At 32.0% G+C, this 16,690-nt stretch overlaps 1 long non-coding RNA gene across 1 annotated transcript; it reads left to right on the top strand.

The window, feature by feature from the left end:
- The first annotated feature begins 1,308 nt into the window (after window positions 1–1,308).
- On the top strand, window positions 1,309–14,753 carry LOC124900832 (uncharacterized). Its single transcript, XR_007058423.1, has 3 exons — window positions 1,309–1,525; window positions 2,661–2,730; window positions 14,495–14,753. It is a non-coding gene; the product is annotated as an uncharacterized LOC124900832 (long non-coding RNA).
- The last annotated feature ends 1,937 nt before the right edge of the window (window positions 14,754–16,690 follow it).

Here is a 16,690-nt window from a genome sequence, read left to right as displayed (position 1 = left end):
CTTATTGACTTTCTTTTGTTCTCCTTTCATTATCTTGTTTATATATATAGTGATATATCTACTTCAGAAATGTAAGATTAAGTACGTGGTAGAAGTGAGGTGAGAGAAAGACCTCCCCATGCAAAAAATGAAATAGTAACAAATAATAGAATGTCCTTATTTCGAATTTTACCTTTTCTATATTTGTGATCACACATCTAATCAATTTCCAAGTTTGAGCTTTCTTATCTCATTGTCATTTTTGCATACTAATTCCCATTGCCACTATCATAGTTATATCAAATTACCTTTATTTTTCAATACAATTCAGCAATTACATTCAAACTCATCTTCTAGGTTTCACTTTCACCTCCTTCCATCAAATACACTCTAAAAAATAAAATTATGTCATTGCATATTTTTCTTAAAATATTTTCTTAAAATATTTTAATGTATCCTAATGACCTCATGATAAAATACTTAACATTTGAATTACTCAATGCCTACTCTCGTCATTAAAATTATTCTACCATTCCATCTTTTCCTTGGTTTTTAAATTTTTCTTTGTTTCTGATATATTGAACTTCTCCTCTGCTCTGGTGGTTTGCAAAGAACTGTCGCATGCTTCCCATTACATATGCCTGCTATCAAATATCTTCCTACAAGCTGTTATTTTAATAAATGAAGAAATATTGCTGCCCAATGCCATTAGTATGATTTTTTTAACTCATTTTTAAAGATTTGACTTTAACATTGTTTCTTCATGAAGAATTATTGAATAGTTTATGGCTTCTCAACCAAAACTAACTATTCATTTCTCCGAATTCCTGTAAAATTTTATATCACTAAAGTAATGTATCCTATTCTACCTGCTTTTATACTACATGTGTATATCTGTTCAAAAAGTAACCAACTTAAGAGAATTGTTTTAAGATGTTTGTATAGCTTCTTAGGATTTAGTGTCTTTTATAGTACCACAATGAAAATAATTTTTTAATTGAATTGAATAAATATTAATTCATACAGTAATGTCGCAATGTATACATAAATGCAAACATGCACACATACATATTTTTCTTGATCAAAACCTTTTGATAGAGATCAAATGTGGGTGTGTGTGTATATATATGTGTGTGTGTGTATATACATATATATATATATTCCCCTTATGTCTGCTATAAAGTATGTGATATTTTATTGCTTTCTTCTTTTTGTTTCATAATATTTAGATGACTAAAACATAACTGTGTTAAAACAATGTGAATTAATGTGCCAATGTGTGTAGTTATATATTAATCATGCAAAGGCTGTTGTATAATATAGGTACTCTGCTACATTTTACATATCTGCTTTTTGAGGAATAAATACCAGAAAGAAGTGGCCTACATAAATCCAAATGGCTTTAGACATTTCAAGTACTGGAAAACAAGATTATAACTATTTATGAAGAAATGGAACATCCTTGCTGAAATCATCCTGCAACAAGTTGTGCTTTCATTTATAATTGAAAACACCAAACTCTAATGCTTGAAAATAAAATCTAATAGTAAGTCTGAACTTTTACTTTCCAAAGATCTCTCAGTGCTACACAGGTTTTGGTGACAGAAGGAAGACAGATACTTTTAGGCACATTCTCCCTCAGGCCCATTTCTAGCTTTCCTGCTCTTTTATCTTGATAATCTACCTGAGTAATTTTAGCAAAGCCTGATTAAGCAGGGCTTTCCATCAGTTTAATATGGTGTCTGTTAATGAAGGTTGAGAACAATTATGGGGCTGTGATTAACACCCTTTGACCTTTACTGAGAAATAGGGGTGTTTAAATCCATGAAGCATATAGGCCTTTTGTACATGAAAATTGCCCCTAAGCAATGCATTTTGGTGACAAGGCAGAAAAATGTGAGCAGAATAAAATCCCTTTGTATTTATTTCTTGTGGAATAGGTGAATTGAAGAATATAAAGCTGTTCTTGAAATGACTGTCAGAAGAAATCCTTGAGTTAAGAACATTTAAGTACCCAAATGATTAACTTGAGTCTCGTTCAAGCATAACCCCCAAACCCAAACAGAATCCTTTTGTTAATATAACTGAATCGTAGGAAATTAAATAGGCTCAAGTAGAATTTTAGTGGACTGAATTTATCTAGATTATTTCAAAAATGTAAAGTGTTGGAGAAATTACTTTATAACAATTGGGCACTTGACATCAACCTTAAAAATTACTTTTGGGAGTCCAACTAGTAAATTTTTATCATTCTTTGGTCTTAGGTTGATGGTTATAAGCACTTATTAACACCCTCCAGACACGTTTTGTGCTTACCTGGAAAATTAGTCATATCGCTGTTATGAAATTCTGTATAATAATTTTAATGGATGAAAAAAGATACCTCAAATCTAATTTCACTCATCTCTGGGTATCAGTGGGGGATTTGCTCCAAAGCCCCCCACCATTGGATACCAAAGTTCACAGATACTCAAGTATCTTATATAAAATGGTGTAATATTTGCATATAACCTAAATACACCCTCTTGTATATGTAAATCATCTCTAGATTGCTTATAATACCTAATACAATGTAAATGTTATGTAAATTATGGTTGTACCATATTTCTTAGGAAATATTTTTTAAGTCTGTATATGTTCAGTACATACAACCATCTATTTTTTTGTTCTGCAAATTTTAGATCTGTAGTTGGTTGAATTCATGGATGAAGAACCCATCAATATGGAGGACTGACTGTAGCTTTCTTGTTGGTAATATTAAATCATTCTTGATATTAAAATAAATTAACTTTTATATGAAAATTCCTAAGGTAAACATTGTCTGTCATAGGTGTTTTGTACAATATAAGGCATGCATATGGGTTTTTCAAAAATAGGACATGCTGGTTAATTTACTATTTGTGTTAATTAAGAACTACCATTGCTATACTAAAGCAATAACTTTTTAAGTTTTTGACAAATCCTAGGAAACACTGCAGAATTTTGCTATATTTCAGCTTCAGCAACCTAGTTGTTAATATTTTTTAATTTAGTCTAATACTAGAAGTTCAAATGATTTTTTAATGGTGGCTTGAGGTTACTTACGGTTTGGTTACAAATTAATTTCCTGTTAGTATGTAAATTGAGTATATTATACATTACTATTCTGGTGATGGCAACAGAGTTCCCAGAGAAATACAAACATTGTAGGTTTTTGGTGGCATACATACAAAACAAAAAGCATACATTTTCTACTAAGATCTGAAGTACCTTAAATAATATTCTAATATCTAATTAGCTATGAAGAAGCCATTGAAAACTATTATGTACTAATAGTAAAAAGTATACATTTTTCTCTGTGTTTTTTCACTTCTGCGAGCTCTTTCAGATTAGTATAGTGTGAGTGCTATAACATATTTCTAATGCATAAAGGTCATTAAATATAAATAATGTATTAATTATCAGGGGTTGATTTAATGTTTTCAAGGTTTTGAAGTTAAGATTCTGCACCTCTCTAAATACATTTATTATATAATAATTTAATTTCTTTTGAGGCTCCTGTCTGGTTTGCTTAACAGGCAATCACGTTTTACTGCGTTGTGCATTAACTAGGCCCAACAACTTCATTACAATGCTTTGTTTCATTTTGTTTTAATGCTTACTTTAGCCCTGCCTACCTTACCCAGGAGCCCCTTCATAATTAGAAAAGCTCATTATCTTTGGGGCACATTTTAAGCTTCAAATTGTTGACTTATGATTGACCACAAATCATAGCAGAATAACTTTTATATAACTTCTCCATTAATGACCCGTGTTTCAATTTTTAAATTCAGTGGTCCATTGAAATGAGAAATCTTAAGGTAATATACAGATAAATTCTATTCTATAGAAAGCTACATGATCTTATTAGAGAAAGAAATGAACTTGATCAAAGATGTGGATTGCAGCTTCAGGTCCTCTACTTGATAAGTACCTTGATAATTCTGGATATCAGGTTTGTCATCTATGGAAATAGAAATACAAATCCTTAGGATATTATTGGTCACTAGTCCACTTAGCACATGATACATTATCATGTTGACCAGGTCATAGTTTATAAATATTATAAATTAAACTACTTTTCATTTTCTGGGAGTGATCTAACTTATACAATTATACAAAGTAGTGTCAACACTATGGACTTAGAAAAAGTCAAAGACAATGTTTTCAAAACATCAAAGTTTAGAGGTAAAATTTAACTGGAAAGTCTTAAGGGGGATATATCATTTACATCTTCATGTACACGAAGGGCTATTTTGTCAGCATTCATGTGATAAATTATTTTAAACAACGGGGTGATAGGATTGCAGTTAAAAGTGAAACTCACTACTAGATTTAAACTCCAACAGAAAGAATTGATAGTAAATATTAAATATTAATAAAGTTATATTTGACAATATAATAAAATGGTTAGTATTCTAAATGGATAAAACAATAAATTACTATTTTGGTTATAAATAATGTATTTTTATTTACAAATATAGTGATTGTTACCTTGTCTTTTGAGGTCCTGGCCATTAGTGCTTCTTTCTGACAATTTATTAATCGTTGCTATGTTTCTTGGGCAAATCTTCCTTAGTTTGTCTCCTCTAGTTTAGGTTCCATTTACTTTCTATTCCTGTGAATATGTAGAGAAGCAGATATAATGTCTTCTGATGAAATATTTCAAATCATACTATTATACTATTTGTCCTTGGTAATAATCTAAATTGCTACTCTTCTTGACTCCATTGTCTTAATATACAGTCTTCTTTTAATTTGCACAGTTATACATCAGTCTACACATGCTATGTCTTTTTTTTTTTTTTTTTTTTTTGGCAGAGTCTCACTCTGTCGTCCAGGCTGGAGGGCAGTGGCATGACCTTGGCTCACTGCAAGCTCCGCCTCCCAAGTTGCACGCCATTCTCCTGCCTCAGCCTCCCGAGTAGCTGCGACTACAGGCGCCCGCCACCACACCTGGCTAATTTTTTGTATTTTTTAGTAGAGACAGGGATTCACCGTGTTAGCCAGGATGGTCTTGATCTCCTGACCTCATAATCCGCCCACCTCGGCCTCCCAAAGTGCTGGGATTACAGGCGTGAGCCACCGTGCCTGGCCTACACATGCTATGTCTTTAAAAATTTTTGTTGACTCGAATTCACTAAAAACTTACTTTTGGTTAAGCATATTGATATGTTTTTATAGTTTATAAGTGCTAAATAAATTTTCCATAATTCTTTTAAAGTTAAATACTGCAAGATAACTTAATTGAAAGACTATAACTACAATCAAATATGATGATACAAGATCAAGAATATATAGAAACAAAGTCACAAAAATGTGTTTGCTTATTAAATTTAGTTTTCATCATTGAAACACAGCAAGTACAGAATACATTTCTATAGTTTTTCATCTTAAGGAAATTACCTCTATAAATATTAGAAATAATTGACTGGAAGTTTGGCATAATGAAGAGTAGTCTTCACTTAATATGTATAATTTGGAGGAAAGTCTTTGGTGAAGCCTTTCTTGACAATAAAATTGAACAGGCCATTTACACTTCACATATAAATTTAGTTTAGAAACTTATTTACTGGAATATTTCACAATACTATCAAAACTACAACATTCATTAAAGTGTGTTTTTTTTAATTTGTTTTATTTTCATTTTTTTTTTGTGAAAGCAAATAAGTGGAGCACTATTCCCTGGTGAAAGTGTACCAGATTTTTACCACCAAGCTATACCTACTGACAACCCTGCAGTCATTAAAGGCTAGGAAAGCTTTCAGTGACTGATCTGTGAAGTATTAGGGTCCCTGCCATTTTTCCATTTCTGTAGTTAGGAATAATCAACTTTGTTTCTGATCTAAAATGTCACTTATTTTCTTTTTAGTATAACCAACTTTGAATTCTGAAACTAATTGATATATCTGTAACAAAGCAAAAATAAAAGTTTTTTTACACCATCATCTATGTTGAAAATTGCTAAGTATGCCAAGATGCTATAATATTTTAAAAAATCTGAAACAAAAGTTTAAATATCTTGTCTTGTAGAAATAAATGCATGGTCTTTTATGAAGCTGATTTGTGAACCATATTCAAAATATGCCATGTATACCTTCAAATAATAATCAGTTAAATTTTAGCTATTTTCCTTCAATGTACCAGATGAGTGTCAATTTGAAAGTGGGGAGAAAAGCTACTCAGTGATATATGAAAAGGAGTAAATACTAACTGTATTAGATAGCATTTACCAAGAACAAACTACCCTAAAATTTGGTGGGTTTGAATTACAAATACTCTATACTTATTTCTCATTTCTATAGTTAAGCAATTTGGGACTAGTTTTTAGCTTTAGCTGCTCCTCAAGTTATCATGTAACGAGCCTGACCAACATGGCGAAATCCCACCTCTACTAAAAATACAAAAGATAGCCAGGCATGGTGGCGGGCGCCTGTAATTGCAGTTACTCAGGAGGCTGAGGCAGGAGAATCTGTTGATCCCTGGGAGGCAGAAGTTGCAGTGAGCCAAGGTCTCGCCATTGCACTGCAGCCTGGGTGACAAGAATGAAACTCTGTGTCAACAACTACAACAACAACAACAAATATATATATATATAATCTAGTCTCACTAATGCATTTGCCACCAGATAGTAGTCAACAAGATGGTTGGGATGTATGCTGCTCATATGGTGGACTTACCAAGATTTCACTTTATGCTTAATATAAGATTTCCGAGATTATCAAAAGAGTAAGCTCTAATGCACAGGCAGTTTGCAAACCTCTGCTTACAACATTTGCTAAGGATCTATTGTACAAAGCAAATAAGATGGCCAAGCCCAGATTCACAAATAAATAAATAGACTCTTGATGGGAGAGCTAGAATACGACATTACAAAGGGGAAGATACCTGGTAGGAAAAAAATCGATAACATTTTGTATCTATACTAACAAAAATACCAAGATAGCACCACATTAGAAGAGAATATAAAGAATAATATATTCTTCAGGAAAATATGTATTCTGAATTATGGCATACTATATAAAATTGTTAATTCTTTTTGGCTACTCGACATTTGAACTTTCAAACTACCTTGTCTTCATTTATGTCACCTTTTTAAAAGCTAAAAACTTCAATTTGGCCGGGCGCGGTGACTCACGCCTGTAATCCCAGCACTTTGGGAGGCCGAGGCGGGCAGATCACGAGGTCAGGAGATCGAGACCATCTTGGCTAACATGGTGAAACCCCGTCTTTAGTAAAAATACAAAAAATTAGCCAGACGTGGTGGCAGGCGCCTGTAATACCAGCTACTCGGGAGGCTGAGGCGGGAGAATTGAGACTGGCATGAACCCTGGAGGCGGAGCTTGCAGTGAGCCGAGATCGCGCCACTGCACTTCAGCCTGGGCGACAGAGCGAGACTCCATCTCAAAAACAAAACAAAACAAAACAAACAAAAACAAAAACAAACAAACAATAACACGTTTCATTGACTTATTTTCTGAGCTTCCCTTGTAGCAGCTAGACTGTGGACACGTGATCTTGGCTTTACCAGTCAGAAATACCTGCCTTCTCAATTTAAAGCTAGTGATACAAAGCAAAATATACAGACCAGAAGGAGAAACAAAATTACACAGTAGCAAGTGCAGCTACTGCAACCAATTTCAAGGAGCAACATTGATGAGAATTCCAATGGCAGTTCCCTATGCATAGTGTCGTCAGCGTGATTGCAGCACTTCACAGATCCAACGAAGTGGTAGGATTTGGATGAAATATTCCAGACTACATAGTTTCTGTGTCAGATTTTCTGGTCATTCTGAAATGTCTACAATCTATCCAATATCTGTCAATACATTTCTGCTTAAATTACTCAGTCTTGATTGCTTGCAGCTAAAATACTAAACAATACACATGACGGAATACTTACACAAACTAAGCATTAATTGCAAAAAGTCTTTATACAATCATTTTTTAAAACATTTAGGTTTTCATTGAAATATATTCAGATAAATACTTATTTGAAATTAAAAAGACGCTAAAAATCATGTTTGTATATCATATCAGCTATATATCTACAATGATGTCAGGTCCACATGCTAGCATTGAATAAAAAAGATTGTAAACAGTACACATATTAGACGCTCCATTTAAAGATAATTAATTATTGATTCTGTCAATTTAGTTGTTATAAGCAAATATTGAGCAAATCTTAACAAAGGTATCTTCATTTCATAAGTTAAGAAACTATAACTCATTGTGTTTAATGAAAATCCTCTCTACACCCAAGAATTTCTTTGTCTAGGTTTTCTTATTATTCAGATTTTCACTCAAATGTTGTCTCCTGGCTGGGTTATAGTGGCTCTGGCCTAAAGTGCTAGCTACTCTGGAGGATCGCTTGAGCTCAGGAGTTCAAGGCTGCAATGAGCTATGGTTGTGTCACTGCACTCCAACCTGGGGAACAGAACAAGACCCTGCCTCTATTAAAAAATTTTCAAGTAAAAGGCTTTCTCCTCAGAAAGGGCTTTCATAACATTTCTTTGTAAAACAAAAAGTAGATTTGTTTTTCCATCAAATTATTTCTATTCCTTAGCCTGTTACATTATCTACACAGCATTCTACAAGGCAATATAACATAAATTATAATTTTGTCCACATGAAACAAATTGGAAAACAAAAAATCCATTTAAACAGTGGGGAAAATGTCTGAGTAGGCACGTCATCAAAGACAATATACAAATAGCAAATAATCGTATGAAAAGATGTTCAACATCATATTTTATTAGGATATTGCAAATTAAACTTATGAGATCCCTTTTAGAATAGCTAAAATACCCCTTGCCCAATATGACAACACCAAATGTTCCAAAAATGTAGAACAACTCTCCTTTATTGCTAGTGGGAATGCAAAATGATAGAACCACTTTACAAGACAGGTTGAAAGCTTCTTACGTAATGAAACATAGTCTACTTACATAATCCAGCAATTGTGCTCCTTGGAGTTTGTCCAAATGTGTTGGTAAAAGCCTACACATGAATGTTTATAGCAGCCTATCCATAATTGACAAAAGCTGGAAGCAATCAACATGCCCTTCAACAGATGAATGGGTAAACAAATGGTGATACATCTGTATAATGAGTTATTATTCAGGGATAAAAAGTGAGCTATCAAGCCATGTAAAGACATGAAGGAACCTTAAATGCACATTATTTGGTGGAAGAAGCCACTCTTTCAAGGCTGCACACTATATGATTCCACCCTTATAACATTCTGGAAAAGGAAAAGGCAAAATTATAGAGGAAGCAGAAAGATCAGTGGTTTCAAGATGGAAGGGAGGAGAAATGAATAGATGGAGCACAGGGAATATTTAGGGTAGCAAAATTATTTTATAATATTTTAATAGTAGATATATGACCTTGTATAATACATTTGTCAAAACACACAAAACTGTAAAATGCAAAGACTGATCTCAAAAGTAACGTATGGTGAACTTTAGTTAATATTCTGTAGCTAATAATAATATCTTAATACTGTTTCAATTATGTCAAATGGGTCACACTAATGCAAGATGTTAATAATAGGGGAAATAGTGAATAAAAAAGAGAGCGAGTATGTAGGAACTATTTGTTCTATATGGTCAATTTTCTGTGAAACTAAATCTAAGCAAATGAAGTCTATTAATTAAAAAAAATAGCCTGCCTTGAACCCCACTATGAGATGTTTATGCCTCAGTTTCCTCATCTGAAAAATATGAATGAAAATATTTCTTACATGACAGTGTAATTGTGAAATCCAACTAGAGTAATAGATGTAAAAAATATAGAAAAATGTCTGTCACATAATAAATGCCTAATACAACTTAGCATTTACTATAGCATCCTCATTGAAAATTCCCTCTCCTATTTTTTTTAACTGCGTCCTAGGTAATCTGAAAATCCACTGGTGCAGGAATATTTTCTATCCTGTTCGCAGTCAAAATAAAATGATTTTGAAGAGTGACTGACATATAGTAGGAATCAATAAATATTTGTTAAGTGAATAAAAGACTCAAGTGCCGTGTTATTATTACTTGTTTAATAATGAAAAAGGAGCTACTACTTTGCTAGTGAAATTAGTCTTGAAACGAATTTCTTCTTTTGAATTGAATATAAATTAAAGGTCTTAAAATATTTAACATTGAAATATTACTGTTCATTTAATACTATAAATTCTGCGTGCTTCCCTAAATTACATTTTAAATGTGCAAATCTCCCCCTCCCTGCCCAATTATAGTGCTCAGCTAATCTATTATTCTGTTACTATGGTTTCATAAACTGTTTTGGGATTAGTTAACCAGGAAGTTTCTGTTCTCATCTTTCTTAGGAATTTTTGTTAAGAAAAGCCATCAACTTTTATTAGTCATGCTGCATGTGAAGAATTATTAAAATGCTTTATAGATAAAAGTCCCTTAATATATACGAACTTTCTTTGCTAAATTCTGTTTTGCAGCCTGGAATACTGATATATGGATTTGGAACTTAACTCCAGTACTCGCTGGCTATGAGATCTCAGGCTGCTCCTCAGAATTTTTAACCATTAAGTAGAGATAGTAATAGTATCAAATTCACAGGATAAAAGTGAAGATTAGATTATCTAACAGATACATACATCACATGGATAGAATCTGGTACAGAGTAAACATTCGATTAATGCAAAAAACTATTTAAAAAACACTTTATCTATCTATCTATCTCTCTATATATATCATACAGTAACAACTTACTCATTCTAGTGTTTGAGAAAAAAACACATTTGAAGATGTAATTATAATTACTTGGCAAAGCGGATATTAACGCCTTTGTTTTCATTCTGAAGCCTTGCTATGGCAGTTCCTTGTTCAATTCTTTGGCCTTTAATTGTTAATTTATCCCCAGCTAGCAATCTCAGATACTTTTTCTATGAATCATAATTTTATTGTGTAAGAACACATGCAGATGAATAACAATTTATCACAACTGTCAATAGAACCAACATGAGTGCTCACAATTCTGGTAGAGAGCATAGCCCAGGTAAGGTGACATTATTTATAACAGAGTAAAAGATACATCTAATGGATTGCCTTACAAAGAGAAGTCATCATAGGAGAGCCTTCTGGTGACATTCAGCATAAGAGACACCGTGTTCTAGAAAGTTTTTCCTGACACTAATGCAAGGATTTAGATCGAAGATATTTCTACATGAGAATCAGACATCAGAAAATGTCAGCTCTACACACAACTGTGCAGTTAATGAGATAAATTAGGGTTTACATAAACATACCTGTTGTACTCTGTTGAGAAAAAATAGTATGTGTGGATTCGTTTTTGAGAAATTAAAGTCATAAAGACTTAGAAGGTTACAAATTTATCCTAAACATTTCAAACTGAGGTATTGCCTGTTTAGCCTGAAAGTACTATATATTGAAACAAAAGAAAAACCAGAACCAGAAAACTACTCATAAAAATTGAACCAAAATGAACAGAACCTAATTTAGACTAAGAACAACACAAGACATATAATAACCATGACATAATTAGCCAATTACTGAGTTGAGTGAATAGAAACTTAATTGCAGAGCCATATTGGATGCTGCTTTCTGGATGTATTCACTTTGAGACCACTTCACTTTCTCTCTGGTCTTCAAGTAGAAACACCTTCAAGTATTTCTAAGAAGACATTCCTGAAATAAAATAAAATAAAAAATAAAATAAAATAAAATAAAATAAAGTAAAATAAAATAAAATATCTTCAAACAATATTTGAAGTGGTAAGTTGCAATTCCAATTTGTAAACCACACGTTTCTTATTTATGTTTTAATAGCCACACCTCCAAGATGTGCTTCTCAAATTATGAATATCTGAATTTTGAAAAATTATTAACATATAAAATGCTGTATAAGATAAAGGGAAAAGACTAAAATTAAAAGAACAATTTCTGCTCTAGATTGGTTTTCTCATTGGAGCAATTGAAACCATCATCAGAAATCAGAAATAAAAATAATAATAATCTCCTTTGTATGTTTCTCTTGTTTCTTTCTGCATTATTACTTACCTTGTCTTGGCACTATGAGTGTCAAGAACTGGATTATGGCCCTAAAAATAGCAAAGTAAGTGAAGCTATTTTGCCTTCCAAGTTCAAGACAAACTTGGTTATGTCATAGAAACACACACAAGCAAATGTTCCAAACATAAATTTAGAATTTGGGGAATGTATGTCTATAGAAATCATTCATATTATCTGTTAATATTCATAAGAATCAGCTACATCATATATGAAATCTTGTTATATATTTATTTATTTTTATATTTCTTCCCACACACAATAGTTATGAAATCCGTGAGGTTAGAGATTTACCTACAGCTCAACTGCTCAGTATTACTTACTGGAAGAATAAGAAAACGAGCATTAATAGAGCTCGAAAAACTGAAACACTGAGTAACAGATTCATTGGGTAAAACCATGGACTGCATTGATCTCATATTAATATATCTACTGTATTATTCATTGCTCAATAGACTCTCAGCTGATAAAATTGTTATATTTTCAATACAGATTATGATAATGAATATAGAAGAATCTGTATTTGATGTCACTGAGTATTTATTTGGCAATCATTATTGCTTAATATATGTCAAGAATTGTTACAAATGATTCATATAATCTCCACAAGAACCTACTAATATAGCCATATTATTATCATTCACATTTTACAGATAAGAAAATGGAGATATCAGAGGTCTAGGAAACATTCCTAATGTCACCAAGCTAAAACGTGTTGAGGTTAGAATCCAAACTCCTGAAGTCTAATTCAAAACTGTACCTTTTCAAACACTCTATGTTGTCCCTGAATCTTTTCACTGCTGAATTATCTTTTTATAACGGTAAATAAACAAAACATTTTGTACTTTGTTATTCTCTCTAAACTCTAAAACAATCTTTCTGTGCATTTGTATTTATTGTAGTTTATAAAGTAAACGATTATTTCAAAATGGAGTGTCTAGTTAAAGAGACAGTATAGATATATGAAAATGAAACAATACAATATCAATAACCATGTATCCTCTTATGTATTAATATTTTCAACTATTCACTCATATCTAACAAATATTTTAATATTTATTGTGTGCTATACTTGTACAAGACATTGGGTGTGCATCAGTGAATGAGAGAGATGTTGTACATGAGTTCCAAAAAGCTCATAGTTTACGAGAAAAAGGCAAACCTGTATAAAATAGTTATGGGAGTGTGATGAAGCTTTAGCATAACATGGATACCATGAAAGCACTGAAAATGTGTCCAGGCTCTTTACATCATAACTTAGAGAAAACTGATATTAAGGGGAAATATATACAGTGGAGGGTATTTGCTTTGAAAATGATGAAAATATAATGAAACACAATACAAATAAAATTACTTTAGACATCAGTTTTTATTTTATGAATTTTTAAGTTCAACATGTTGCTTCTTAAAGTATGTTCCACAGAGATCACTGGCATCAGAATTGTCTAGAGTATTCATTAATAATGTATATTCATGGTTTCTCCCTAGAGTTGTTGATTAGTAACACCGGAACTGGATGTAGGCAATCTGTGTTTTATTAGACTCCACAAATTATTACTTTACAATCTGAAATTTAAGGAACACAGAATTAAACTTTAGCTATGCTTAATACTTAGCATAGCCAAATATTAAGGTGTTTAAAACCTTAATACATTTTAATAATTTGGTGCAGTTTGTAGAGTTTTGTTTAATTATGTTGAAAACAAAATGTTTGAATTACAATATCAATGCATGCATTTTACAAAAGCAAATAATTGATAAAACACAAAAATACAAACACCTATGATGAAGACCCCTAACATTTTCTCCGTTAGTTGTTAATCCTTGCCAAATGATTAGAGAACATCTCTTTCTCTCTCTGTCTCTCTCTCTCTCTCTGTGTGTGTGTGTGTGTGTGTGTGTGTGTGAGAGAGAGAGAGAGAGAGATAGAATTTATATTTATTTTTTATCATCTCCTGAAGCGTAATAAAAACTGTTCTTCTCCAGTTTTGATAATTTGTATATGCTTTACCAATTTCACCAATGAAAAAATTCATCAAAGAGCTTCAATTTGCTTTTTAAATTAAAATATACTTAAATATATTTTCATGTATTTATTGACCAATTTTATTCTCCTTTTTATTGCCTCATTTTAGTACTTTCTTTACTTTCCTAAGGAATCTCTGCTTTTTTATCAGTGTATCATCTATGGTAGTTGGATTTTCAATGTTTGATTTCTTTTTTGTGACTTTTTTATGTGTGTAGATACATTTTTCTTTTAAAAAATATGACTGCATTTCCTCTAATTACATGAGCTACACCTTCTACTGTGCAGAGTTGTTGATGAGCAACAGGTGACCAGGCAGAAATTATGTTCTCATCACACCTTTGAATCAAAGTCAGGGAGGTGGGGATAATGAGTTCAAACATGTAGTGTGAGTAGAATGAATGCGGGTCTTTTTCAGGTCTGCGTATTTAAGAAGCTGGTGGGCCTTTATCACTCTCTGCTGCCTCAACGGCCAGCTGAATACTGAGGACTATCATGACCCAGAAAAGTCTCTAGCCCCAAGAGAAAAGGAAGGACGTTGAGGCTCTGAATCACAGCATGGTAGCCTACCCACCATGCTAGCAATAAACTTTTACTCTGTGAAGCCACTGAATACTTTATGATTGTTATTTACAGAAGCTAGCATTAACCTAACTAATAAAAGGGTTTTAAAGTTTTATTTGCTTCCATTTCATTTATGGCTCCTGGTGGTTTCTATGCCATTTGTAAAAGTGCCTTTCCTATTCCTGAGTTAGAAACACATTTCTCCTTGTAGTGTTTTAAACTGCCACATTTTACATTTAAATAGTTAATCCCTCTGGTATTTGTCTATAGGTGTAATTGTTAAAGAAGTAAAATTGGTTTCCTATTTTTTATATTCTATTTTTTAATTACTAAAAAGCCAATTATAAATGTTACTAAATAAAGATGAAATAGTTTCCTCACTACCTTGAGATGTCTTCTTTACCATCAGCCAAAATCTTACATACATGACTTTATTTATTTTTGTTATACCCTCCTCATTGATTGGCAAGCCAATTCCTAGGTCAATATACATTTTTAATTATGTGACTTCACAATATTTTAAAATATCTGGTAGCTTGTTACTATTCTTTATTTTCAGAATTTTTATAGCTAACTTCATATTTTTATTTTTCAGATAGATATGAGAATTATATTTTAATTAAAAATTTGTTACATATACAGGTCAAGTTAGAGAAAATAGGTATCTTAAAGATCATCCTCTTCCATCTTTGTTCATTGAATAGTCATCTTTTCATCTGTCAGTATGTTTAGGTAAACATATTTCCAATTATAATGGTTTAGTTATTTTTCATGTTTAAAAGTGTTCTTCTATATTTTTAAATTAGCCATTATCTTAATATATGATATAAGTTACTTATATATAGAAATATCTACATGAATCGTATGATATTCAACTCTTTGTTTGCAAGTATTAGATGATTTTCCTGAGTCTTAAATAACTTAATAACTACTTACATATAATACATATGTTTCAAAAATGTTATTTCATGTAATGTCATGGTTAATTATAATGTGCAAAGATAGACCAATATAAATATAACATGTAATTTACTGTAAACATTCTTGTCTTCATCTTGTTTTTGGTAAGAATGCTTCTAATGCATTCTCACATATCACCATGGAAGCCTGATGTAAATTCTGGCTTCAGAGTCTCCTTGCAAAATAATTTAATAATTTCTGAAAAAATTCAAACTTTAATAAAACTATCGCCTATTATTTATAAAATATTATATAACATAACTACTTTTTAGATATATTTTAAATGTTATAGGATAATAATAATGTGTTTGATATTCTTGTCTCTTGACAGCTTTCCTGAGTTTATTATAATGTCTTCAATTATAAATTACTTAATAATATATGTTGAAAAGTCTTTAAAAGACTTATTATGATTTTTGAAATTGTCCCATGGGCGCTATTGCAGTGCAATTGTCCATTAGAAAAAACAAGTTAGGTGTTAGCTATTGTGTTTTTCTTCAGTGGAATTTTCTGAAGAAGCTATGGCAACTGTAATACATGAAATTTACTACATCCAACTTTTAAGAAACAATGTCATGATTACCATTCTCAGATTGTGTTGCATCTCCTAAAAGCTGAGGGTAATAAATCTAGATAAGAACAGATTGATTTTCTATTGTGTCAGTGAAGAGATTATAGAGGATTTTATATCCTCCAGGCTACCTTACAATAGGCATCTCTTATGGTCAGAGACAGGTTTGTGACTGTAGATAATGATTTTGACAATGATGGTAATACATATCAACCAACATCAGATTTGAGTACATATCTGCTATTTCCTTTGGGCATACATGCAAGATGTTAACTGAAATGAACATATTTACAAGTAAAACACTACAGTACTCTGAACACAATTAAGCACATATACATATGGTTCAGTGTATAAAGAATATTTGTTATGAAAGGAAGAAGGCAACTTGAGGGTTTGAGAGAACTTAATCTCACCAAGACATGAATTAGGAGTGGCAGATATCTTCAACTCTAGGTTCATAACCTAAGGACAGACAGCTGTTTGGGCATTTGCTCTTGGAACTCCTGCCCTCAGTAAACA

Source organism: Homo sapiens, chromosome 4, assembly GCF_000001405.40.
Source record: "Homo sapiens chromosome 4, GRCh38.p14 Primary Assembly".
Classification (NCBI taxonomy): Eukaryota; Metazoa; Chordata; class Mammalia; order Primates; family Hominidae; genus Homo; species Homo sapiens.
This window is presented reverse-complemented; position numbering and strand designations above follow the sequence as displayed.